At 44.8% G+C, this 25683-nt stretch overlaps 2 protein-coding genes across 16 annotated transcripts in view, besides 8 other annotated features; one reads left to right on the top strand and one right to left on the bottom strand.

The window, feature by feature from the left end:
- Positions 1-1366, bottom strand: part of NMNAT1 (nicotinamide nucleotide adenylyltransferase 1) — a 53970-nt gene extending 52604 nt beyond the window's left edge. For 4 of the 8 annotated variants that reach the window (XM_017002108.3, NM_022787.4, XM_011541971.2 and 1 more), the window contains exon 1: positions 774-814. The gene's annotated coding sequence lies outside the window, so the exon portion shown is untranslated. Of the gene's footprint in view, positions 1-517; positions 815-1263 lie in introns of those variants that run through there. The other 4 variants (NM_001297778.1, XM_047428077.1, XM_017002107.3 and 1 more) reach the window with 2 other exon arrangements.
- Positions 566-1765: an enhancer, noted in NCBI's record as "BRD4-independent group 4 enhancer chr1:10002582-10003781 (GRCh37/hg19 assembly coordinates)". NCBI's record gives its function as "activates an origin of replication core promoter dependent on BRD2, P300/CBP, MED14 and CDK7 cofactors, and independent of BRD4, by STARR-seq in HCT116 cells {active_cell/tissue: HCT116}" and the evidence as "EXISTENCE:reporter gene assay evidence [ECO:0000049][PMID:35650434]".
- Positions 566-1869: a biological region, named in NCBI's record as "BRD4-independent group 4 enhancer GRCh37_chr1:10002582-10003781".
- Positions 729-1298: an enhancer, noted in NCBI's record as "H3K27ac hESC enhancer chr1:10003049-10003618 (GRCh37/hg19 assembly coordinates)". NCBI's record gives its function as "activates a minimal SCP1, AML or CMV promoter by ChIP-STARR-seq in primed H9 embryonic stem cells {active_cell/tissue: H9 hESC(primed)}" and the evidence as "EXISTENCE:reporter gene assay evidence [ECO:0000049][PMID:30033119]".
- LZIC (leucine zipper and CTNNBIP1 domain containing) lies at positions 898-22171 on the top strand. Of its 8 annotated transcripts, none has more exons than NM_001316975.2 (8): positions 898-940; positions 1507-1665; positions 7662-7770; positions 8662-8797; positions 9429-9527; positions 11391-11486; positions 12317-12398; positions 21931-22171. In NM_001316975.2, the coding sequence occupies exons 3-8, from the start codon at positions 7670-7672 to the stop codon at positions 22032-22034; spliced, it is 618 nt and encodes a 205-aa protein (NP_001303904.1). In that variant the 5' UTR covers positions 898-940; positions 1507-1665; positions 7662-7669; the 3' UTR covers positions 22035-22171. The 8 variants fall into 8 exon arrangements, with proteins under 8 accessions (NP_001303904.1, XP_005263563.1, NP_001303903.1 ...); XM_005263506.3 differs by having other exon boundaries at positions 898-1040; NM_001316974.2 differs by lacking the exon at positions 21931-22171 and adding an exon at positions 13832-17996 and having other exon boundaries at positions 1507-1608.
- Positions 1299-1869: an enhancer, noted in NCBI's record as "H3K27ac hESC enhancer chr1:10002478-10003048 (GRCh37/hg19 assembly coordinates)". NCBI's record gives its function as "activates a minimal SCP1, AML or CMV promoter by ChIP-STARR-seq in primed H9 embryonic stem cells {active_cell/tissue: H9 hESC(primed)}" and the evidence as "EXISTENCE:reporter gene assay evidence [ECO:0000049][PMID:30033119]".
- Positions 4464-4964: an enhancer, noted in NCBI's record as "H3K27ac hESC enhancer chr1:9999383-9999883 (GRCh37/hg19 assembly coordinates)". NCBI's record gives its function as "activates a minimal SCP1, AML or CMV promoter by ChIP-STARR-seq in naive H9 embryonic stem cells {active_cell/tissue: H9 hESC(naive)}" and the evidence as "EXISTENCE:reporter gene assay evidence [ECO:0000049][PMID:30033119]".
- Positions 4965-5465: an enhancer, noted in NCBI's record as "H3K27ac hESC enhancer chr1:9998882-9999382 (GRCh37/hg19 assembly coordinates)". NCBI's record gives its function as "activates a minimal SCP1, AML or CMV promoter by ChIP-STARR-seq in naive H9 embryonic stem cells {active_cell/tissue: H9 hESC(naive)}" and the evidence as "EXISTENCE:reporter gene assay evidence [ECO:0000049][PMID:30033119]".
- Positions 12977-13476: an enhancer, noted in NCBI's record as "H3K27ac hESC enhancer chr1:9990871-9991370 (GRCh37/hg19 assembly coordinates)". NCBI's record gives its function as "activates a minimal SCP1, AML or CMV promoter by ChIP-STARR-seq in naive H9 embryonic stem cells {active_cell/tissue: H9 hESC(naive)}" and the evidence as "EXISTENCE:reporter gene assay evidence [ECO:0000049][PMID:30033119]".
- Positions 15966-16475: an enhancer, noted in NCBI's record as "H3K27ac-H3K4me1 hESC enhancer chr1:9987872-9988381 (GRCh37/hg19 assembly coordinates)". NCBI's record gives its function as "activates a minimal SCP1, AML or CMV promoter by ChIP-STARR-seq in naive H9 embryonic stem cells {active_cell/tissue: H9 hESC(naive)}" and the evidence as "EXISTENCE:reporter gene assay evidence [ECO:0000049][PMID:30033119]".
- Positions 22172-25683: the final 3512 nt, after the last annotated feature.

Here is a 25683-nt window from a genome sequence, read left to right as displayed (position 1 = left end):
ACAGCCAAGGGTAACTTTTTTTTATTTTTATTTTTGAGATGGAGTCTCGAACTGTCGCCCCGGCTGGAGTGCAATGGCGCGATCTCGGCTCACTGTAACCTCCGCCTCCAGGATTCAAGCGATTCTCCTGCCTCAGCCTCCCGAGTAGCTGAGATTACAGGCGCCCACCACCACGCCCAGCTAATTTTTTGTATTTTTAGTAGAGACGGGGTTTCACTATGTTGGCCAGGCTGGTCTCGAACTCCTGACCTCGTGATCCGCCTGCCTCGGCCTCCCAAAGTGCTGGGATTACAGGCGTGAGCCACCGCGCCCGTCCAAGGGTAACTTTTTAAGAGCTGCCCTACAGCTCATTACCTCCTTCTCAAGGAGCATGAGTGTCAAACCACCTCCAGCAAAGTAGATGTAGTCTTTTACAGATTTGGAAAGAAGGATTTAGGAGGAAAGGGAAGTCGTTCGGAATGAAGGATTTCCTCCTCTGACGCCCAGCCGTCCCCCGTTAAGCCTAAAGGTGCCAGACCTCAAGACTCTTCTAGAAAGAGATTTTTCCTTTCCAAGGTGAATCCATCTGTTCCGAAGGTCAGAAGCTATTTTACCGAAGTTTTCCGTTCCACTGAAAAAATTAAGGGTCAATCAAAGCTCCTTGCCCCAAACCTGAATATGAGCTTGCCTCGGGTCATATTCGACTCTAAAGACTCCACCACACCATCCTGGACTCCCCTATATCTAGGACAAAAAGCGACCAGTTTCTCAGGGGCTCCTTGCGGGGAGCTTACCGCGCCCTCACTGTCCGCCGGCCCGAGTGCTACCGGAGATCACCAGCGGCCCGGACGCCAGCGAGTGGAACATCTCGGTCGCACTCTCATTGGTTCCAGGGGGCCGGAAGTGCGTGCGTCCAGCGGAAGTGCTCCCCCGGCGCGGTCCGCCAGGCCAGTGCCCTCAGGTAGGCGGGGCCCCTGGCCCTAAACTCTGGGACTGGCGGGCGGTCAGGCGGCACAGGGGGAATCCCGGGGGCCTAAGGAGGTTGTCCCAGTTTTTGTCAGGTAGGCCCGGAAGGAGTTTCGGGGACCATGGGTTTACGGCTACCTCTGGTGGCAATTGGGGCCTGTTGGAGCCCGGCCGCCGCGGGACCTACGTGCCGGACTTCAAGTTCCCGCGTGGGGTGGGATTTGCTGCGGTGGCCGGAGCTGATTCTTCACCCAGTCCTGTTGGTTCTGGGCCAAACCCTCCTCACTTTCAAGGAAGAGGCGTGCTCTCCGCCCTTACCTTTTCCAAGCCTCTGGGTTTGACGCCATCCCTCAAGGCGTGTCCGGATGCGGGATTTTCCTCAAAGACCCTCTCGGCCTCGCTAGGAAGAAACTCAGAAAGGCTGCGGTAGGCGCAGTCGAGGGGGAAAGTGCCCCCGCCCTTGATGTCTCAGGCTGCTCAAGTGGAAGTTATCTGGACTGCCTTAGGGCAAGTTTATATATAGCAAATAAAATTACTTGTTAATGGTTTCCTTTTTTCCAGCATCTCCACCCCGAGGTGGTTTGAACTTTGAGCCTTTTGTAGTCCTGATGAATAATTTCATTTTCCTCAAGTTTATGACACTCGGAACGTCAAGAACTGGAGGTTTGTGCAATTTGAGACCGGTCGGCACTGTGCAGAGATCAGAGTACTAAGAGACAGGTGAGCATGAATGAGGACCCTCCGCTCCAGATATAGTGTCTGAGAGCGGTTTCTGTAGTTTCGTAAAAGTGAAAAGTGCACCACATTTAGTGACTACTAGGTGGTGCCAACGAGTTAATCTTTCGGGGATAAATCTCAACTAATGTAGTACCAGGTTAAGGCTTTTAAAATGCACCCATTTTTACTGAAATGTATTCAGAATAGCTTTAGCTCCTTAAAATATGTTGAGCCTTTATATACGTGACCAAATTATCGACGTTCTATTCTGTATTAGGTACTGAGAAAGCTGAGAGAGGAATCAGACTCATATTCTGTTCTCCAGAGTTTAGTCAGAGGAGATAACGTATTATAATAAAATCATATATAATTAAAGGCAGAAATAAGTGCTAAATAGAGAATAAGATTTGAGCTGGGCGCGGTGACTCACGCCTGTAATCCCATCACTTTGGGAGACTGAGGCAAGTGGATCACCAGAGGTCAGGAGTTCAAGACTCGCCTGGACAACATGGTGAAACCCCATCTCTACTAAAAATACAAAAATTAGCCAGATGTGGTGACGCATGCCTGTAGTCCCAGCTACTGGAGAGGCTGAGGCAGGAGAATTGCTTGAACCCAGGAGGCTGAGGTTGCAGTGAGCCGAGATCGCGCCACTGCACTCCATCCTGGACGACAGAGCGAGACTCCGTCTCAAAAAAAATTTTAAAAAAAAAGATTTGAATGCTAAAGAAGAAGCAATCAATTCTCATTATTCATCTACCAGTTGTTTATTCGGCACTTTTTGTCTGTCCAAGATTGTGCTGGATGCTGGTGTATAAAGAAAAGGTAAAGGCCGGGTGCGGTGGCTCACGCCTGTAATCCCAGCACTTTGGGAGGCCGAGGCAGGCAGATCACGAGGGCAAGAGATCGAGACCATCCTGGCCAATATGGTGAAACCCGTCTCTCCTAAAAATACAAAAATTAGCTGGGCGTGGTAGTGCGTGCCTGTAATCCCAGCTACTTGGGAGGCCGAGGCAGGAGAATCTCTTCAACCTGGGAAGCGGAGGTTGCAGTGAGCCGAGATCGTGCCACTGCACTCCAGCCTGGCGACAGAGTGAGACTCCATCTCAAAAAAAAAAAAAAAAAAGGTAAAGGCTAGGCACGATAGCTTACACCTGTAATCCCAGCATTTTGGGAGGCTGAGGCAGGCGGATCACCTGAGGTCAGGAGTTTGAGACCAGCCTGGCCAACATGGTGAAACCTCATCTCTACTAAAAGTACAAAAATCAGCTGAGCGTGGTGGCGGGCACCTACATTCCCAGCTACTCGGGAGACCGAGGCAGGAGAGTCACTTGAACCCAGGAGGCAGAGGTTGCAGTGAACCAAGATCATGCCACTGCACTCCACCTGGGTGACCGTGAGACGCCATCAAAAAAAAAAGAAAGAGGAAAGAAAGAACGAACGAACGAAAGAAAGAAAAGGTAAAATCCCTACTTAAATAATTCACAACCTAGTGATTGGGAGGAAATCAAGGAAGACCTTGTAGAGAAGGTGACACTTGAACTAGACTTTGAAGAATGAACTGGGCTTCATAGGTAGAAAAAAAAATGCAGGCTCAAAAAAGTGCATGACATTTTTGGAACAGCAAGTCATCCAGTGTGGTTAGACTGTAGGAAACTAACTCTGAAAAGACATTGTCAGTTACATCTTGGGTTTGCCTTGACTTTTACTGGAAAATTCCACAGACTTAAGAGAAAAATTAAAATGGACAATTTCCAGGAAAAATCCACTAAACTATTATACATAAGATGTAGCTACAATAAATTACACTTCTGGGTATAATACTTGTTTATGTTTGCATATCATTAATGATCATAGATGACTTATGCCAATTTTAATAGATTAGGTAGTAATTTTTTGTCATTATATTTAATTTTGAATATACTGTAAGAATCCTCTCCAATGAAGTACACATGTCAAATCATCTGGTAATGATTTCATTATGTGTAGGAAAATAAAACATGCTTTAATGCTGTGTGCGGTGGCTCACGCCTGTAACCCCAGCACTTTGGGAGGCCGAGGCGGGCGGATCACGAGGTCAGGAGATTGAGACCATCCTGGCTAACATGGTGAAACCCTGTCTCTACTAAAAAAAATATACAAAAACTAGGCCGGGTGCAGTGGCTCACGCCTGTAATCCCAGCACTTTGGGAGGCTGAGGTGGGCGGATCACGAGGTCAGGAGATCGAGACCATCCTGGCTAACACGATGAAACCCCGTCTCTACTAAAAAATACAAAAAAAATAAGCTGGGCGTGGTGGCGGGTGCCTATAGTCCTAGCTACTCGGGAGGCTGAGGCAGGAGAATGGTGTGAACCCGGGAGGCGGAGCTTGCAGTGAGCTGAGATTGCTCCACTGCACTCCAGCCTGGGCGACAGAGCAAGACTCTGTCTCAAAACAAACAAAAAACATGTTTTAATAAGTTACCTGGAAAGTTTTGTGGTTTGTTTTTTGTTTTTTGTTTTTTTTTGAGTAGGAGTCTCACTCTGTCTCCCAGGCTGGAGTGCAGTGTCACAATCTCAGCTCACTGCAACCTCTGCCTCCAAGGCTTGGATGATTCTCCCACCTCAGCCCGCCAAGTAGCTGGGACTACAAGCACACACCACCATGCCCAGCTAATATTTTAATTTATTGTAGAGACGGGGTTTCGCCGTGTCGGCCAGGCTGGTCTGTAACTCCTGGTCTCAAGTGATCTGCCTGCCTTAGCCTCCTAAAGTGCTGGGATTACAGGTGTGAGACACCATGCCTGGCCCCAGTCAATAGGATATTTAATGAAACTTGACATACTGATTGTTAAATTCATCTGGAAGAGAAAGTGCACAAGAAGAGCCAAGAATTTTGGGGAGGAGAAAACAATAAAGGCAAGTCATTATCAGTTATCGAGATATATCAGTGATAAAGCCATAATAATGTAAATAGCAAGAAATGTTGCCTGAGGGCTGGACACAGTGGCTCATGCCTGTAATCCCAGCATTTTAGGAGGCCAAGGCCAACATGGCGAAACACTGTCTCTACTAAAAATACCAAAAAAAAAAAAAAAAAAAAAGGCAGATGTGGTGGCACACCTGTAATCCTAGCTACTCAGGAGGCTGAGGCAGGAGAATCACTTGAGCCCAGGATGTGGAGGTTGCAGTGAGCTGAGATCACATCACTGCACTCCAGCCTACTGCACTCCAGCCTGGGTGACAGAGCGATACTCTGTGTCAAAAAAAAAAGAAAAAAAAAAAAGCCAAGTGGGGTGCCTCATGCCTGTAATCCTAGCACTTTGGGAGGCTGGGGTGAGTGGATCATTTGAGGTCAGGAGTTCAAGACCGACCTGGCCAATATGGCAAAACCACATTTCTACTAAAAATACAAAAATTAGCCGGACGTGGTGGCACGCACTCAAGAGGCTGAGGCAGGAGAATTGCTGAAACCCAGGAGGTGGAGGTTGCAGTGAGCCGAAATCGTGCCACCGCACTCCAGTCGGGGCGACAGAGCAAGACTCAGTCTAAAAAAAAAAGAAGTGATTCCTTAGGAACAGAAAATTATCAATGACTAGCCAATTGCCCTAATACCCTTTACTAGTCAGTCTTTTATTTATTAATCAATATGCCACCTTTATTGTAGACCAAATTCTCCTGGATCAATAAATAAAAGACTGATTAGTAAAGGGTGTTTTTGAAAGGAAAGTTAGACCCCTACTTCAAAGCATAACAAAAAATGTTGCAGGTGGCTTTTGTCTGCAGCTAGAAAACAAAAATTTGTAAAAGTCTTGAATATAAAGATGTATAAATCTTGAGATGGTTAGGGCCTGCCTTCATGGGTCACAAAACGAAGAAGATTTAAAGGAGAAGATAGATTTGTCTATTAAAAAATAATAATTTGCCATGACAAAAAAACATAAAATTTAGTCAGGAGACGAAATAATATTTGCAATTACAAAGGCTTCATTGCTTGATCTTAGGAGGTCAAAGCTGCATGAGCCATGATCATGCCACTGCACTCCAGCCTGGGTGACAGAGCAAGACCCTGTCTCAAAAAAGCCAAAGGCTTTGTATCCATGTTATAAATCAGTAAGAGAAAGATAACCCAGCAGAAAGATGGTCACATTTCCAAAGAAGAAATTCATATTAAAAGATGTTCATCAGCTGGGCTTGTGGGCTTACACCTATAATCCCAGCATTTTGGGAGGCTGAGGTGGGAGGATCTCTTGAGCCCAGTTCAAGACCAGCTTGGGCAACATGGGAGACCCCATCTCTACAAAAAAATAAATTAGCCAGGTGTGGTGGTGTGTGCCTGTGTTTGCAGCTACTCAGGAGGCAGAGGTGGGAAGATGGCTTGAGCTCGAGAGGTTGAGGCTATAGTGAGCTATGATTGTGCCACTGTGCTTCAGCCTAGGCAACAGAGTGAGACCCTATCTCAAAAAAAAGTTCATGCTCACAAGTAATTAGGTCAATATACATAAGACCAATAAGATAATATCTGGAGTGTTTGGGGCTATAATGATTCATTTTATAAAGCAAAGTCACATTTGATCTACATATATATATATATTTCCATTTACCAAATTTGTTTAGAGTAAGATAGACCAATAATGAAGACTTCTAATTAATATGTCAAGTCACATAAAGAGGACTTTCAGGTATTTTTGTGGGGTGTTATTACTATATGAGTTTAAACTTTTATATCTAAATTAAGATTTTCTTTGTTTAACTATCTTTCATATACCTGTAGCTTTTTTTTTTTTTTTTTTTTTTTTGAGTCAGGGTCTCGCTCTGTCAACCAGGCCAGAGTGGAGTGGCAAGATCATGGCTCACTGCAACCTCAAATTCCTGGGCTCAAGCAGTCCTCTCACCTAAGCCTCCTGAGTAGGTGGGACTAGAGGCATCCGCCACCATGCCTAGCTAAGATTGTCTATTCTTTGTAGAGATGAAGTCTCACTATATTGGCCAGGCTGGTCTCGAACTCCTGGGCTCAAGCAATCCTCCCACCTCAGGCTCCCAAAGTGTTGAGATTACAGACATGCGTGAGCCACTGCACCCAGCTGCCTTTTTTTTTTTCTGAAATGTAGTCTCACTCTGTTGCCCAAGCTGGAGTGCAGTGGCGTGATCTCAGCTCACTGCAACCTCTGCCTCCCAGGTTCAAGCAAGCCTGCTGCCTCAGCCTCCCAAATAGCTGGGACTACAGGTAATTTTTTTTTCTTTTTTTTTTTTTGAGCCTGAGTCTTGCTCTGTCGCCCAGGCAGGAGTGCAGTGGCGTGATCTCGGCTCACTGCAAGCTCTGCCTCCCGCGTTCACACCATTCTCCTGCCTCAGCCTCCCAAGTAGCTGGGACTACAGGCGCCTGCCACCACGCCTGCCTAATTTTTTATATTTTTAGGAGAGACGGGGTTTCACCGTGTTAGCCGGGATGGTCTCAATCTCCTGACTTCATGATCCGCCCACCTCAGCCTCCCAAAGTGCTGGGATTACAGGCGTGAGCACCGTGCCTGGCCTTTTTTTCTCTTTAGAGATGGGGTTTCCCCCATGTTGCTCAGGCTGGTCTTGAACTCCTGACCTCAGGTGATCCACCCACCTCGGCTTCCAAAAGTGCTGGGGTTACAGGCGTGAGCCACCACATCCGGCCTTTTTTGTATTTTTAGTAGAGATGGGGTTTCACCATGTTAGCCAGGATGGTCTTGATCTCCTGACCTTGTGATCCACCCGCCTCGGCCTCCCAAAGTGCTGGGATTACAGGCCTGAGCCACCGGCGCCTGGCCGCAGCTGCATATTTTTAATTGCACTAGGGACTGGGTGTGGTGGCTTATGCCTATAATCCCACCTCTTTGGTAGTCCAAGATGGGAGGGTCACTTTAGGCCAGATGTTCCGAGACCAGCCTGGGCAACATAGTGAGACTCTGTCTCTACAAAAAATAAAACTTAAAAAAATTGCACTGGTATGTTAATTTCATATGGTATGTGGGTTTATTGTTTCACATAGAGATTAAAATGGCTTCCAGAGGAAAGACAGAGACAAGCAAATTAAAGCAGAATTTAGAAGAACAGTTGGATAGACTCATGCAACAATTACAAGATCTGGAGGAATGCAGGTAAGAGTTTAATTGTATGTTGTTATGCTGGAAACTGGCGTTTTTTCTGCAGCTAGCTCCGTGGATGCAGGCCCATGTGTGATGATTCTGCATTCCCCTGTAGTGTTCTTTGCAGTGCTTTGTCTATTAGAGAAGTAAACTTATTGCAGGCTTTGGAGTCATAAAGGCTGGGAAATGAAAGTCATTCAGTTAACTACTAAGTGCATGTGAACTTGAGCAAAATACTTACCTTCCTTGAAGTAGAAATAACACCTACTTTGTCTTTAGTATTTAAATCAGTCCTACCTGCTGTCAGGCTAAGAAGGTACTACTTGAACTTCTGGCATGTAGTTTCAGCCTTACCTGCACAAAGGACCACAACAGTTCATTGCAGCTTTTTTTTTTTTTTTTGAGACAGAGTCTTGCTGTATTGCCCAGGCTGGAGTGCAGTGGCGAGATCTCAGCCCACTGCAACTTCTGCTTCCCAAGTTCAAGCGATTCTCCTGCCTCAGCCTCCCGAGTAGCTGGGATTACAGGCATGCACCACCATGCCCGGCTAATTTTGTATTTTTAGTAGAGACGGGGTTTTACCATGTTGGCTAGGCTGGCCTCGAACTCCTGACCTCAGGTGATCTGCCCATCTCAGCCTTCCAAAGTGCTGGGATTACAGGTGTGAGCTACGGCACCCTGCTTTATTATGTGGTTTCTTAAGTATCCTCATTTTGGTAAAAGAAAAATGTTTACCAAAGTAACTATATTGCAGGAAAATGCCCTCACTACTACTATGTGAACACATTCACCATCAGCATTTTGATATTTCCCTTCAGTCTTTCTCTAATGTACAAGTATTAAGATTGCATTTTTCACTTGGAACTCTTCATTTTTCCATATCATGATGTTCACCTATTTCAGAGAGGAACTTGATACAGATGAATATGAAGAAACCAAAAAGGAAACTCTGGAGCAACTAAGTGAATTTAATGATTCACTAAAGAAAATTATGTCTGGAAATATGACTTTGGTAGATGAACTAAGTGGAATGCAGCTGGTAAGTATAACATATAGGCGACAGAGGACAGACTTTGTTTTTTTGTTTGTTCTTGTTTTTGTTTGAGATGCATTCTTACTCTGTCGCCCAGGCTGGAGTGCAGTGGGGCAGTCTTGGCTCACTGCAACCTCCGCCTCCCAGGTTCAAGCGATTCTCCTTACTCAGCCTCCTGAGGAGCTGGGATTACAGGCATGTGCCACCATACCCAGCTAATTTTGTATTTTTAGTAGAGACGGGGTTTCTCCATGTTGGTCAGGCTGGTCTTGAACTCCCAACCTCAGGTATCTGTCTGCCTCGGCCTCCCAAAGTGCTGGGATTACAAGCGTGAGCCACTGTGCCTGGCCTTTAGTTTTTTTTTTTTAGAGATGGGGTCTTGCTACATTTCCAAGGCTGGTCTCAAACTCATGGGCTCAAGCAATCCTCCTGCCTTGGCCTCCCAAGGTGTAACTTCTAGATGAGTGTCTGTTTATGCATACACAACATATCCTTCCAGATCTTCATTTAGTTGTGTAATTGCTTCCATGACAGGAACCAGTAAACCTTGATAAAAATTAAGGATCCGTCAATCAGTTATTGCAATATCTGATTTGTTGGACTATTTTGGTTAGTTTTTGCCTTCTTGTGTTTCTAGGCTATTCAGGCAGCTATCAGCCAGGCCTTTAAAACCCCAGAGGTCATCAGATTGTTTGCAAAGAAACAACCAGGTCAGCTTCGGACAAGGTTAGCAGAGGTAAAATTTCTTTAAATTGATTTGGTTGCTGTGTGTTTTTCATTTCCTAGGCCAATTCATTATGATATCCTATGGCTTAAAAATTTGCCAGGTGATTTTAGAGCCACAACTAACAATTTTCTGACAAAATTAGTACTTTGAGCAATTATAGTTGATAATGAATGTAGAGCTTTAAACAATATACGGCAGTTTAAATTGCCACTGACCACTTCTACCTGGACTCCACCTTTAATGTTTTACCATTTACTTCTGGAGCTCTAACTTAAAATCACATTGAGAATTAATTAGCAGCATTGCTTGTATGCATGTGTAGCCTATCTCATCTAAGAATTTCAAGTATCTTTGTAAACCTGATACTTCCAGAAGTCTGTTTATAGGCTTGGATGTAATTAAGAGTTACCAAATTATTTGTAAGTATGGGCAATTCAGTAGCATAGTGATTCAGAGCATGGACTTTGGTCAGACTGGCTGGATTTGAATTCCTGCTTCACTACTGAGGTATGTGACAAGTTTTTTATGTTTTTTTTTTTTTTTGAGATGGGGTCTTGTTCTGTTGCCCAGGCTGGAGGGCAGTGGCGCAATCTCGGTTCAGTACAACCTCTGCCTCTGGGTTCAAGTGATTCTCTTGCCTCAGCCTCCTGAGTAGCTGGGACTACAGCAGGCACATGCCACCACGCCTGGCTAATTTTTGTATTTTTAGTAGAAATGGGGTTTACCATGTTGTCAAGGCTGGTCTTGAACTCCTAACCTCAAGTGATCTGCCCGCCTCAGCCTCCCAAAGTGTTGGGATTATAGATGGGAGCCACTGCGCCTAGCCTTTTGTTTGTTTTTTGTTTTTTTGTTGTTGTTGTTGTTTTTGAGGCAGGGTCTTACTTTGTCACCCAGGCTCAGTGTAGTAATGCAATCTCGGCTCACTGTAGCCTCTGTCTCCTGGGCTCAAGCGTCTCCCATCTCAGCCCCTCAAGTATCTGGGCCCACAGGCACAACACCACCACACCCCACTAATTTTTGTATTTTTCATAGAGACAGGGTTTCACCATGTTGGCCAGGATAGTCTTGAACTCCTGAGCTCAAGCAATCCACCCACCTCAGCCTTCCAAAGTGGTGGGATTACAGGCATGAGCCACTGTACCTGGCCTGGACAACTTATTTTATTCATCCCCTTTGTGCCTAGGTTTCTCTGTCTGTAAAAACATGACAAAGATAGTCCTTACCTCTTATGGTTCTTATGAGGATTAAATGAAGTAATATGTGTAAAAGTACTTTGAATATTCCCAATGTGTGGTACATGCTATTAGTGTTTCTGGTGGAAGAGGTGATATTTTACTAGATGATTTACTAGAACTGCATTTAACATTTCTATCATATTTGCCTTGGATTATATCTGTAGTTCTTTATAATATTAATCAGCTAGAGGATTTTTTTTTAAGAAGTACGTCTGAAAAGCTATATGTATGTGTATATATATATATATATATTTTTTTTTTTTTTTTTTTTTTTTTTTTTTGTGGTGGAGTCTTGCTCTGTCACCCAGGCTGGAGTGCAGTGGCGCTATCTCGGCTCACTGCAAGCTCCACCTCCCGGGTTCACACCATTCTCCGGCCTCAGCCTCCTGAGTAGCTGGGACTACAGGCGCCTGCCACCATGCCTGGCTACTTTTTTTGTATTTTTAGTAGAGACGGGGTTTCACCGTGTTAGCCAGGATGGTCTTGGTCTCCTGACCTCGTGATCCGCCCGCCTCGTGATCCGCCCAAAGTGTTGAGATTATAGGCGTGAGCCACTGCGCCTGGCCTGAAAAGCTATATTTTGTATATGGAATGTTTTTCACTTAAGTAACATATGCCTTGCATTCATACGTTTTAGATGGATAGAGATCTGATGGTAGGAAAGCTGGAAAGAGACCTGTACACTCAACAGAAAGTGGAGATACTAACAGCTCTTAGGAAACTTGGAGAGAAGGTACCAGTATTTAATATATTAGTTACAAAGAAAAAGTATGAATTATTTGGTACAGAACATCTTGATCTGTGGTCTAGTTTGTGGTACTAAGACATTCTTTTTTTTTTTTTTTTTTTTCTGAGACGGAGTTCCGCTCTTGTTGCCCAGGCTGGAGTGCAATGGTGCGATCTCAGCTCACTGCAACCTCCCCCTCCTGGGTTCAAGCAATTCTCCTGCCTCAGCCTCCTGAGTAGCTGGGATTACAGGTGCCCACCACTACGCCTGGCTAATTTTTGTATTTTTAGTAGAGATGGGGTTTCACCATGTTGGCCAGGCTGGTCTTGAACTCCTGACCTCAGGTGATCCGCCCGCCACAGCCTCCCAAAGTGTTGGGATTACATCGGCCTCCCAAAGAGCTGGGATTGCAGGTGTGAGCCACCGCACCCGGCCCTCCCCTCTACCTTTTTTTTTTTTTTTTGAGACGGAGTTTTGCCCTTGCTGTCCAGGCTGGAGTGCAGTGGGTCGATCTCAGCCCACTGCAACCTCTGCCTCCCAGGTTCAAGCAATTCTACTGCCTCATCCTCCTGAGTAGCTGGGATTACAGGCGTGCACCACCACGCCCAGCTGATTTTTTGTATTTTTAATAGAAATGGGGTTTCATCATGTTGGCCAGGCTGGTCTCAAACTGCTGACCTCATGTGATCCACCCCCCCCCCCCCCCCACGCCTCCCAAAGTGCAGGGATTACAGGCGTGAGCCACGGTGCCCAGCCTCCTAAGACATTCTTACCTGGTTTCTAGAACCACCTGTAACATTTACCCACTCAACTGGACTTTGTTTCATTTTGTTTAGCTGACTGCAGATGATGAGGCCTTCTTGTCAGCAAATGCAGGTGCTATACTCAGCCAGTTTGAGAAAGTCTCTACAGACCTTGGTGAGTGCCCTCATATTTCTGAAAGCTGGTCGTATACTACTGTCATATATTACATACAAACTGATGGAGAGTGTGGTTGAAATAACATAATAACCTTTCCTTGAGTTTAAGAGTGAAACCAGAATTGTTTTCTTTATAAATCCATTGTATTGGTTTTATTCCCCAATATTAAAAATAAATTAATGCAGCCTAATGTTTTTAAAATACTTGTCAGGTAGACGTAACTATAACAGAAAACTAAAATTATATGCTTGAGGCCAGGAGTTCTAGACCAGCCTGGGCAACATGGTGAGACCCTTTGTCTTCAAAATTAAAAAGCGGGAGGCCAAGGCCGGGTGCGGTGGCTCACACCTGTAATCCCAGCACTTTGTGAGGCCGAGGCGGGCAGATCACGAGGTCAGGAGATCGAGACCATCCTGGCTAATACAGTGAAACCCTGTCTCTACGAAAAACACAAAAAATTAGCTGGGTGTGGTGGTGGGCACCTGTAGTCCCAGCTACTTGGGAGGCTGAGGCAGGAGAATGGTGTGAACCCAGGAGGCGGAGCTTGCAGTGAGCCGAGATTGTGCCACTGCACACCAGCCTGGGCGACAGAGCGAGACTCATCTCAAATAAATAAATAAATGAATAAATAAACAAAATTAAAAAGAAAAAAAATTAGCTAGGTGTGGTGGCATGCACTTACAGTTCTAGCTACTTGAGAAGCTGAGGCAGGAGGATCACTTGAACCCAGATATTTGAGGCTGCAGTGAGCCAAGATCATGCCATTGTACTCCAGCCTGGGTGACAGAGCAAGACCTGTCTCCCCGCAAAAAATATTTCTTCTTTCTTTATTTTTTTTTTTCACAGAAATGTTTTAAAATAAATTTTATGGCCAGGTGCGGTGGCTCAAGCCTGTAATCCCAGCACTTTGGGAGGCTGAAGTGGGTGGATCACCTGAGGTCAGGAGTTCGAGACCAGCCCGGCCAACAGGGTGAAACCCTCTCTACCAAAAACACAAAAATTGGCTGGGCATGGTGGCACGTGCCTGTAATCCCAGCTACTAGGGAGGCTGAGGCAAGGATAATTGCTTGAACCCAGGAGGTGGAAGTTGCAGTGAGCCGAGATCGCACCACTGCACTCCAGCCTGGGCGACAAGAGCGAAACTCCATCTCAAAAAAATAAATAAATAAATAAATTAAATTTTACATATTATATTTCATAGCTAGAATAAGGATTTATAACTAATAAGTCCCCCTTTGTAGCTGGATTGTTTGTGCAGAGGGAAGGAAATTGGGATGGCAATGGGAACGTGTAGGGGTTAATACACTGATAATGGAGGCTAATTATATTTTCTGTTTTAATATCTATATGATAGATTTTTTCCCACTTTACCAGGAATTGCAACTGCACTTGAAATAATCTTTTTGTTTATTATGTGTCTTTTTTCTTAGGCTCTGGAGACAAAATTCTTGCTCTGGCAAGTTTTGAGGTTGAAAAAACAAAAAAATGACATGGTGCAGAAGCTTGTAACATTGATCACATTCTTAATGTAAATGGTGTCTTTCTTCTGGGGTTTTCAGTTATTGCAAAGAAATGAAGAGATTCTGGAAATGCATCAATAACCTAAGAAAAAGCGACATAAAAATATACTTATGGCTTGTGTTTATGCTCTTCATCATTGTGCGTTGTGTGCGGTTACCTGCTTGAGTGATCCTGAACTTGTTGCGACAGAGGGACTCACTGGACTCTGTTCGTTATGATTTGTCTGTTTAAGAGAGAAAACAAAGTGGACTTGATTTTTATTAAGGCTGTTTGTTTTTAAGTGTTGATAGTGAACGAAAAGATGTGAAGTAATGATATTTTTCTGCTTACAACTTATCCCCACTCATTGGAGTGAACAGTGACGCAAGCTCAATAGACTTCATAAGTGTTCATAGAATTTTACAATTCTGAGTGATCTTAGAAATCATTTCTGTTTTTACAAACAAGGAAACTGAGGTCCAGAAAGAGCAAGCGACTTTGCTTAAAGTCGCATCAGAGAGCTGAGGGTAAGACTCAGGTGTCCTGACTCCCAGTTTAGTATCTTTTGAATTTTATTTCTGTACCATTTAAAAAAAATAATTAACACTATTTGTGCAAGTCAGTGTTTTTGAAAATTCAGTGTCCCAATAAAAAGTGGACTGCACACTAAGGGACCATCCCCCAGCCTGTAAGCTGTCTGTATTAATGGGGCCCGTTGTATCTCGGAATTTTGAGGTTGGAACAATGGGAGCCCTGTTGAGCGTTTCCTAAAGTGACTTAGCCGCCTGCGTTGTTTGACCAGGGAAGCAACAGGAAATGGCAGCTAGAGGCCCTCCCTGTGCGTGACCTCTTGTCACACTCAGAGGGGGGTAACTGTCAGCTGTTATCTACTCTTCAGGTTTTGGAGAAACACAAAATAAGTTATGAGGAAAAGCAAATTTCTCTCCTGAGTATTTACATGTCTCTGTATGCTCAAATATGCAGATGTGTCCCTATGCGTGTATATTAGCTTATTTTTTAGGCTCTAGCCATTTTATATTCTTTCATGTGCTTCTCAATATTCTTTTTCTTTGCACTTTATACAAATTAAAAGCATTTTTAAAGCTTCTTCTGTACTGTAAACTACTAGGTGCTTTGCCAACCAGACAGATTAGAGGACCTCCGCTACACTGATGCCTTATTTGGAACTTAAAAGAGGTGAAATTCATATATCATAAAATTCACCATTTTAAAGTGTACCATTCGTTGGCAGAACATTTACAGTGGTGTGCAACCATCACTACTCTCTAGTTGCAGAACATTCTTATCACCCCCAAAGGAGGCCCTATACCTATTAAGCAGTTAGTCCCCATTCCCTTCTCCTCCGACTGCTAACAATAGCCACTAATCTGCACCCTGTCTCTGTGGATTTACCTATTCTGGATATTTCATATAAATGGAATCATATGATATGTGACCTTTTTATGTATCTGGCTTCTTTCACTTAGCATAATATTTTCTTTTCTTTTTTTTTTTTTTTTTGAGACAGAGTTTTACTCTTATTGCCCAGGCTGGAGTGCAATGGCGCAATCTCAACCTCCGCCTCCCAGGTTCAAGAGATTCTCCTGCCTCAGCTTCCCAAGTAGCTGGGATTACTAGTGTGTACCACCACGCCCAGCTAATTTTTGTACCTTTAGTATAGAGACAGGGTTTCACCATGTTGGCCCAGCTGGTCCTGAGCTGACCTCAGGTGATCCAACTGCCTCGGCCTCCCAAAGTGCTGGGATTATAGGTGTGAGCTACCACACCGGGACATCATCATATTTTCAAGTTTAACCAACATTATAGCATGTATCAGTACTTTATTCCTTTTTATGGCTAAATAATATTCCATTGTATGGATATCATATTTTGTTTATCCGGTATCTGTTGATGATTTGGGTTGTTTCCTTCTTTTGGCTATTGTGAATAATGCTTCAGTGAACATTTGTGTACAAATATTTGTTTGAATACCTGTTTTCAATTTTTTTGGGTGTACACCTAGGAATGGAATTGCTGCGTTTGTTGTTGTGTTGTTGTTGTTGTCGTTGTTTTTTGAGATGGAGTTTCACTCTGTTGCCCAGGCTGGAGTGCAATGGCGTGATCTCGGCTCACCACAACTTCTGCCTCCCAGGTTCAAGCGATTCTCCTGCCTCAGCCTCCCGAGTAGCTGGGATTAAGGCATGCGCCACCACACCTGGCTAATTTTGTGTTTTTAGTAGAGATGGGGTTTCTCCATGTTGGTCAGGCTGGTCTCGAACTCCTGACCTTAGGTGATCCACCCGCCTCAACCTCCCAGAGTGCTGGGATGATTACAGGCATGAGCCACCATACCCGGCCTGAGCCACCACACCCAGCCTACGTTTGTTTTTTAAGCCATAGAAGATTCTTCCCACCAGTCGGGCACAGTGGCTCACACCTGTAATCCCAGCACTTCAGGAGGCCAAGGCGGGCGGATCACAAGATCAGGAGCTCAAGACCAGCCTGGCCAACACAGTGAAACTCCATCTCTACAAAAATTAGCCAGGCATAGTGGCAGGTGCCTGTAGTCTCAGCTACTTGGGAGACTGAGGCAGGAGAATCACTTGAACCTGGGAGGCAGAGGTTTCGGTGAGCCGAGATGGCGCCACTGCACTCCAGCCTGGGCGACAGACTGAGACACGGTCTCAAAAAAAAAAAAAAAAAAAAAAAGAGGAAGAAGATTCTTCCCTTACCCTGCAATAGTAGACCAGAAAAATTAGGAATATCTTGAATTTGAAAGGGACCTAATGCCTGGCACAGTGGCTCACGCATGTAATCTCAGAACTCTGGGAGGCAGAGGTGGGCGGATCGCCTGAACTCAGGATTTGAGACCAGCCTGGCCAACATGGTGAAACCCTGTCTCTAAAAAAAAAAAAAAAATTAGCCAGGCGTGATGGCATGCACTTGTGGTCCCAGCTACTCAGGAAGCTGAGGTCAGAGGATCACCTGAACCTGGGAAGCAGAGGTTGCAGTGAACTGAGATCACGCCACTGTACTGGCTGACAAAGTGAGACCCCTGTCTAAAAAAAAGATAAAGAGAGTTACCTGAATCTGGAATCCTTAATCTTGGTTTTCCTTAAACTTTCTATAAGTCCAGCATCTGAAATATTTTGTCAATTATCACATTAATGTGTTCATTTTGTAAGTAAGAGTACTCAATTTAAAATGATCTTACTTTAAAAGTGGCCTAGTTTGCAGTGCCCAGCAGGACACTGACAGTCACAGCTGTGTGACTTTTTGTGGGTTACTTAATTTTTTTGAGCCTCCTTTTCTCTTCTATTCAATGAGGATAATAGGGCCTACCTCATAGGATTATTATGCATTCCCCTCTGTTAATGCACGTAAAGTTTTTACTTGGAAAACTAACTCACCATTTAACAACCATTCTAAGCACCATAGGATATATTTTGTTTCACAAATTTGGTATTCATTCAGAATAAGTATTTGAAAAGTGAGTAAATTCTATGCAATTATAGTTATTAAATGACTTATAAACTGTGTTTCTCTTCCACTTCTTGCTACATTTAATCTTCTAGGTGTTCAGATATCTTTGGAGATTATAGGCAGCAATAAAGCTAAGGCAGCTAACCTTTCAACATTCTTGTGTCAGGCTAATATTTTGGTGAAAGGAATTCTTGTGTTTCTCAAAGAACTAGAGCTGAAGCAGAAATAAGTTCCAATGAGCAAGTGTCCAATCGGACCATTGAATGAAATCTAGTGTTTTAAACAATTCTGATGTTTCAATGTTTTGTTCTGTTTTCTTTTGATCTTGTGAGCAGTAAGACATATTTTATGTGGGTGGTAAAGGAAGAAATCAAGTAACAGAATGAGGAATTGTTCCCAGGAAGAGTTAGAGTTGGGACAAATGGGTTGTTAACTTTGATTTTTAGATCTTCTCTGAAGACATTAAACATGGAATGGTCATCTTTAGAAAAATAAAAGACTATGCAACTCCACCACTGAAATGGTATCTTATTACAGTGAATGATGGATAATCTGAAATTACTATAGAAAAAAATAAACCCAGACCATTTTGCCTAGAGCCTTTCAACCACCTTTCTGTCCACGTTTTTCTTTTTTATTCTATTTATTGCTAAGACCAGTGAATGTTCTTCTTTGCCTTCCAAAATGTTTTCCAGCATTAGTATGTAAATTAAAACTGTCGGCAGGGCGCCGTGGCTCACACCTGTAATCCCAGCACTTTGGGAGGCGGAGGCGGGCAGATCATAAGATCGAGACCATCCTGGCTAACATGGTGAAACCTTGTCTCTACTGAAAATACAAAAAATTAGCTGGGCGTGGTGGCGGGCGCCTGTAGTCCCAGCTACTCAGGAGGCTGAGGCAGGAGAATGGCGTGAACCCGGGAGGCGGAGCTTGCAGTGAGCCGAGATTGCACAACTGCACTCCAGCCTGGGCAACAGAGCAAGACTCCATCTCAAAAAAAAAAAAAAAAAAAAAAAAAGGCATGAGTGGTGGCTCATGCCTGTAATCCCAGCACTTTGGTAGGCCAAGGTGGGCAGATCACAAGGTCAGGAGTTCAAGACCAGCCTGGCCAATATGGTGAAACCCTGTCTCTACTAAAGATACAAAAGTTATCCAGGTGTGGTGGCGTGTGCCTGTAATCCCAGCTACTCAGGAGGCTGAGGCAGGAGAATCACTTGAACCTGGGAGGCAGAGGTTGTAGTGAGCCAAGATCTTGTCACTGCATTCCAGCCTGGGCGACAGAGGAGACTCTGTCTCAAAAAAAAAGAGTTCACAATGGAAAGTCGATACTGTTGAAGAGCTTCAGCAAAGTTGAGAGGTCTGAGGCTGTCAACTGGAAGCTTCCTAAATGCTTGGTTATTTTTCTACCAGAAAATCACACTGCTTATTGCTTACAGCCTCAGGCAGTTGAATACAATTAAAAATAAACCAGCAAAAATATCATTTATTATAAAAGAAGTCAAGGAGAGCCATCAAGTTTTTCTGTGTGTTTGTTTTTTAGAGTGAAGATAATGCTGGTAAGGGTTTTTTGTTTGTTTGCTTGTTTGTTTTTGAGACGGAGTTTCGTTCTTGTTGCCCAGGCTGGAGTGCAATGGCCCGATCTCGGCTTGCCGCAGGGTTCAAGCAATTCTCCTGCCTCAGCCTCCTGAGTAGCTGGGATTACAGGCATGCGCCACCATGTCCAGCTAATTTTTTTTTTTTTTTTTTTGTATTTTTAGTAGAGATGGGGTTTCTGCATGTTGGCCAGGCTGGTCTCAAAGTCCCGACCTCAGGTGATCTGCCCACCTCGGCCTCCCAAAGTGCTGGGGTTACAGGCGTGAGCCACTGCGCCCGGTGGTAAGGGTTATTTCTAAGATGATACATCAGCCACAGATCCTCTGCCTCAGCCTCTGGCGACTGTAACTGAATTTTGAAGCCCCCCCTGCAAAACCTCCTGCTGAGCTGTGTTACAGTTATGACTTGGTTTGAGAGTTTCTGCTACCTTGTCTATTTCCTGTAAAACATCGTAGCAGGTCAGGTACTGTTTTTTGGTCACTACTAAATTGTCATATTACACGAGGCTATTCTTTACTACTAAAGGAGCTTAATTTTGTTGTTGTTGTTTTTTCCCCAACATTATTCCTTCAATACTCATTAACCAGGCCAGATTGAAAACAGAGCCAGCCTGAGCAATGTGGCGGAATGCCATCTCTACAAAAAAACACAAAAATTAGGCCGGGCACGGTGGTTCACGCCTATAATCCCAGTACTTTGGGAGGTGGAGGTGGGCGGATCACAAGGTCAGGAGATGGAGACTATCCTGGCTAACACGGTGAAACCCCATCTCTAGTAAAAATACAAAAAATTAGCTGGGCATGGTGGCATGCGCCTGTAGTCCCAGCTATTTGGGAGGCTGAGGCAGGAGAATCGCTTGAACCCGGGAGGCGGAGGTTGCAGTGAGCTGAGATCGCGCCACTGCACTCCAGCCTGGGTGACAGAGCAAGACTCCGTCTCAAAAAAATAAATAAATAAATAAAATAAAATAATATGGATATTGGATAGAGCCTTTTTTTTCCCCAAATAAGACAATTAAGTGTTTTATTGTTAATACATTTAGATATATAGCGGCATCCCTGTAGAGGTTTGTTTTACAGTGAGAAAGTTGTGTTTTAAGTTGACCCAACAATGAAAAACAACTATTGGCTGGGCACAGTGGCTCATGCCTGTAATCCCAGCACTTTGGGAGGCCGAGGCGGGTGGATCACGAGATCAGGAGTTCGAGACCAGCCTGGCCAAGATGGGGGAACCCCGGGTCTACTAAAAATACAAAAAATTAGCTGGGCATGGTGGCAGGCACCTGTAATCCCAGCACTTTGGGAGGCTGAGGTGGGTGGATCACCTGAAGTCAGCAGTTTGAGACCAGCCTGGCCAACATGGTGAAACCCCATCTCTACAAAAATACAAAAATTAGCCGGGCGTGGTGGCTCATGCCTGTAATCCCGGCTACTCGGGAGGCTGAGGCGGGAGAATCGCTTGAACCTGGGAGGCAGAGGTCGCAGTGAGCCAAGATTGTGCCATTACACTCCAGCCTGGGTGACAGAGCAAGACTCTGTCTCAAAAAATATATATAAATATAAATAAAAGCAATATAATGCTACTTCACAAAATATTTAAAATATTTTTTTCTCTTTTTTTCTTGACCCAATGCTAGCAGAAAAGCATAAATCTTAAAATATGCATTTCAAAAATTCTATACTATACTTGGGAGGCTGAGGCAGAAGGACTGCTTGAGCCCTAGAGTTCTAGTCCAGCCTAGGCATTATAGTGAGACCCCATCTCTTAAAAAAAAAAAAAAAAAAAAAAAAAAAGAAGCATTGGGCCAGGTGCGGTGGCTCATGCCTGTGATCCCAGCACTTTGGGAGGCTGACGCAGGCTGATCACCTAAGGTCAGGAGTTCGAGATCAGCCTGGCCAACATGGCGAAACCCTGTCTCTACTGAAACCACAAAAATTAGCTGGGCGTGGTGGCAGGTGCCTGTAATCCCAGCTACTCAGGAGGCTGAGGCAGGGAGAATCACTTGATCCTGGGAGACGGAGGTTGCAGTGAGCCAAGATCATACCTCAGTGACAGGGCAAGACTCCATCTCAAAAACAATAAAATAAATAAAATGGAGGCATTGTATTTGGGTTGACCAAGGGAAGCCTGTGTATTCATGGTCTTGCTATTTGAAATAATGGGAAATGAAGATCATAAAATTAACTGGGAGTCCCTACTGTGGGAAAAAGCCTACAATTCTGTTACTCCTGTCTTTTCCTTTCCTGGAGGTGAGGTAAATTACTTTTTCTGTTATATTTCCTTCTCTTAAAAGTTGTGCTAAAAAGATCTTATAATAGCCCAAGACATCCTAATGAAAGAATGTGATTGAGTTGGTGGGAATGTATGTGTTATAGTATAGTCTGTCTCAGTAGGGTGTCATTAGCAGCAGAAATGGAAGGCAAATTAAAACTAGTTCCTTTATCCTTTTCAGACCCTGCAGCCCCTTTAGCATGCTGCTTCTATATGTTTCCTACTCTGAAAAGAAATTAAATGGGAATTGCCTACTCAAAGCTGTTTTAAAATGTCCTAAGTGTCACCTGGATGCTTGTTTGAGGCCTGCCTGCATCCTCCTCTGTGAGCCTGCCTTCCTCTCTTTCCTAAGAACGTGCTTCTGCATATTAGTGAAATAAGTGCCTCTTTCTGTTCTGTCTATAGTTAGCCACCAATTAATAAGATGAGCAGAAATGCTCCCATGCTGAGCACTGTGCTAGGGGCAGGGAAGAAGCTGACACTACTTTATGAGGCAAGCTATGTAAGCGCCTTTTTATCTCCTAGGAGAGGCCCTCAATAGGTTCGGTCTACCCCCTGGAGCCTGTAGCTATTTCAGGCTACTCATTAAAGTCAATCTAGGATATTGCCAAAGCCTTTGAATTCTTTAAGTGAATTGCCTCCACTTGAAGTCAGCTAAAAATAGTTCACTTTCGCTCCCCAGGACGGCCCCCAAGTTACATGAACTACCTGCTAGACTCACACCCCAGCAAAAATATTGATGTCCCCAGCAAGATTAGCTTCCTGTTAAAGATCCAGGACCTGTGAATACATGCGTAACTGCAAGAATGGAAGCAAAGGATGAACCCAAGTTAAAGCCCAGCACAAGAATATGATGTAAGCGCTTTTGGGAAATGCAGAGATTTTCTTTTCTCTTCAAATAATAAATTACATCTAAAAATTAATGAGAGTATAGGCCGGGTGTGGTGGCTTAATGCCTGTAATCCCAGCACTTTCGGAGTCTGGGGCAGGTGGATCACCTGAGGTCAGGAGTTTGAGACCAGCCTGGCCAACATGGTGAAACCCCGTCTCTACTAAAAATACAAAAATTAGCTGGACATAGTGGCACATGCCTGTATTCCCAGCTACTTGGGGAGCTGAGGCAGGAGAATCGCTTCAACCTGGGATGCAGAGGTTGCAGTGAGCCGAGATCACACCATTGCACTCCAGTCTGGGCAACAGATCGAGACACCGTCTCAAATTAAAAACAAAAAAAAGGCCGGGCACGGTGGGTCACACCTGTAATCCCAGCACTTTGGGAGGCTGAGGTGGGCAGACCACGAAGTCAACAGATCGAGACCATCCTGGCTAACGAGGTGAAACCCTGTCTCAGCCGGGCGCAGTGGCTCATGCCTGTAATCCCAGCACTTTGGGAGGCCGAGGCGAGTGGATCACGAGGTCAGGAGATCGAGACCATCCTGGCCAACATGGTGAAACCCCAACTCTACTAAAAATAGAAAAATTAGCTGGGCGTGGTTGTGTGCACCTGTAGTCCCAGCTACTTGGGAGGCTGAGGCAGGAGAATCGCTTGAACCTGGGAGGCGGAGGTTGCAGTGAGCCGAGATTGCACCACTGCACTCCAGCCTGGCAACAGAGCAAGACTCTGTCCCCCCACCCCAAAAAAGAAACCCCGTCTCTACTAAAAATACAAAAATTATCTGGGCATGGTGGCACATGCCTGTAGTCCCAGCTACTCAGGAAACTGAGGCAGGAGAATTGGTTGAACTGGGGAGGCGGAGGTTGCAGTGAGCCAAGATCACACCATTGCACTCCAGCCTGGGCAACAGAGCGAGACGCCATCTAAAAAACAAACAAAAACCCAACATTAATGAGAGTACAAAGCATTATGCCAGACCCATCCATCATAAACTTGAGTACCTGCTATGACTTTCTCTTCTTTCATTTGGAACCCACTGTAGAATCGGTAGCCTCAGAGTAATTGGCTGAAGAGAGTGCATTCTTGGCTGGGCGCGGTGGCTCATGCCTGTAATCCCAACACTTTGGGAAGTCTAGGGGGCTGGATCACTTGAGCTCGGGAGTTTGAGACCAGCCTGGGCAACATGGCAAGTCCCCATCTCTACAAAAAAAATACAGAAATTAGCTGGGTGTGGTGGCACGCGCCTATGACTATAGGAGGTTGCGTGCCTGTAATCCCAGCTACTCACAAAGCTGAGGTGGGAGGATCACTTGAGCATGGGAGGCTGAGGTTGCAGTCCGCTGAGGTCATGCCACTGTGCTCCAGCCTGGGTGACAGAGTGAGACCTGGTTTCAAAAAAAAAAAAAGAGAAGAGTGAGCATTTTGGGGCAGGTAGAGCCAACCCTGATAGAAAGAACTTCATCTTGTGTTTACACAGAAGTGACTGCAAGAAAGGGAACAATTTGTTTCTGAAACTCCTTGTGACATTTATTGTTATAGCAAGTGCTTCTGGTCACCGAGAAATCATATGCATACTGCATCCAGAGACTCAATGAGAAAATTGGGCTCATGGATACTAAACTGTTCCTTAAATGCTCAAAGCTGATAATATACCAATTTTATACCATATATGTTAAAGGCCTCGAGAAAATTAAAGCAGGTTTTTTAGGGGCTAAAGCAAAGTGGCTTAGGATGAATAAAGCAGTAGACTCTACCATTTACTTGGTTTCCATCAGAATGGAAAATGCCAAGGCCAGCACAGTGGTTTTGCCCTGTAATCCCAGCTACTTGAAAGGATGAGGCAGAAGGATCACTTGAGTCCAGGAGTTCCAGACCAGCCTGGGCAACATAGCAAGACCTTGTCTCAAAAAAACAAAACAAAAAAAGGCCAGGCATGGTGGCTTACGCCTGTAATCCCAGCACTTTTGGAGGCCGAGGTGAGCAGATCACCTGAGGTCAGGAGTTCAAGACCAGCCTGGCCAACATGGTGAAACCCCCGTCTCTACTAAAAATACAAAAATTAGCTGGGCATGGTGGCGTGTGGCTGTAGTCCCAGCTACTCAGGAGGCTGAGGCAGGAGAAGCGCTTGAACCCCGGAGGCAGAGGTTGCAATGAGCCAAGATCGCGCCACTGCACTCTAGTCTGGCGACAGAGCGAGACTTTGTCTCAAAAAAAAAAAAAAGAAAAATATATATGTATACAAAAATTAGCCGGGCATGGTGGCACGTGCCTGTAATCCCAGCTACTCGGGAGGCTGAGGCAGGAGAATCACTTGAACCTGGGAGGCGGAGGTTGCAGTGAGCCAAGATTGTGCCATGCACTCCAACATGGAAGACAGGGTGAGACTCTATCTCAAAAAAAAAAAAAAAAAAAAAAAAGAATTAGCCAGACATGGTAGTAGGTGCCTGTAATCGCAGCTACTCAGGAGGCTGAGGCAGGAGAATCACTTTGGACTTGGGAGGCGGAGGCTGCAGTGAGCCGGGATTGTGCCACTCTAGCCTGGGCAACAGAGGAACTCTGTCTCCAAAACAAAAAAAGGAAAATGCCTCACTCATAGCTGCTTTGATATATTGGGGTATGAATCAGAAAACTTTTATTCATACCTCTCTCTGTTGGAGTAGAACATACTTCCTTGCTCTACTGTTTGGGGCTAGGCTGTTAGATGATATGGCCAATGACCTTCCAATGTGCTTCCACAGTTGGGCTTGCTGCTCTTGTTCTGTTTGTTTGTTTGTTTGTTTGTTTGTTTTTGAGACGGAGTCTCGCTGTGTCGCCCAGGCTGGAGTGCAGTGGCGCGATCTCGGCTCACTGCAAACTCCGCCTCCCGGGTTCACGCCATTCTCCTGCCTCAGCCTCCCGAGTAGCTGGGAGTACAGGCGCCCGCCACCGCGCCCAGCTAATTTTTTGTATTTTTAGTAGAGACGGGGTTTCATTGTGTTAGCCAGGATGGTCTCAATCTCCTGACCTCGTGATCCGCCCGCCTCTGCCTCCCAAAGTGCTGGGATTACAGGCATGAGCCACCGTGCCTGGCCATTGCTCTTGTTCTTCTACCATTCATCATAAGAGGAATATACCCTGGCTAGCCTCTAATCCAAGGAGGAGGAGGAAATTTGAGGCAGATTTAATCCTAGTCTGCAGCTAAACCTTGCTGATCCCATCCCGACTCAGCAGAGTCATAGGCAACTCACAGCCTGAAGCCAGGCAATTTGAGGACTCCTGAGCAAAAAAAACAAAAAAACAAAAAAAAAACAACACGAAAAAACCACTATATTTTGAGGTGGTTTGTTATACAGCATTATTGCAGCAATAGCTGACTAATATACTCCTCTTGTTCCATTTTAGCCCATTTTCCATGCTATAGCCATAGTCAGCTATTTAAATACAATTCTGATGATGTCACATTCTTGTTTAAACCCTGCAATCATTCTCATTACTCTTGGAATAAAAACCAAATGCTTAGCATGACCTATAAAGGCCTGTATGATTTGGGTCTGGCCTCTC

The sequence above is a fragment of the Homo sapiens genome, chromosome 1, assembly GCF_000001405.40.
Source record: "Homo sapiens chromosome 1, GRCh38.p14 Primary Assembly".
In the NCBI taxonomy this organism is placed as follows: Eukaryota; Metazoa; Chordata; class Mammalia; order Primates; family Hominidae; genus Homo; species Homo sapiens.
Note: the sequence above shows the minus strand (reverse complement) of the source record. Positions and strands in the feature narration are given on the sequence as shown.

Excerpts from the sequence above, each read along its gene's own strand:
- LZIC (NM_001316974.2), top strand. The coding sequence starts at position 1,554 with ATGAATAATTTCATTTTCCTCAAGTTTATGACACTCGGAACGTCAAGA. Across the intron at positions 1,609-7,661 it reads CGGAACGTCAAGAACTGGAG|AGATTAAAATGGCTTCCAGA; the intron begins GTTTGTGCAATT and ends TGTTTCACATAG. Across the intron at positions 12,399-13,831 it reads GAAAGTCTCTACAGACCTTG|GCTCTGGAGACAAAATTCTT; the intron begins GTGAGTGCCCTC and ends CTTTTTTCTTAG.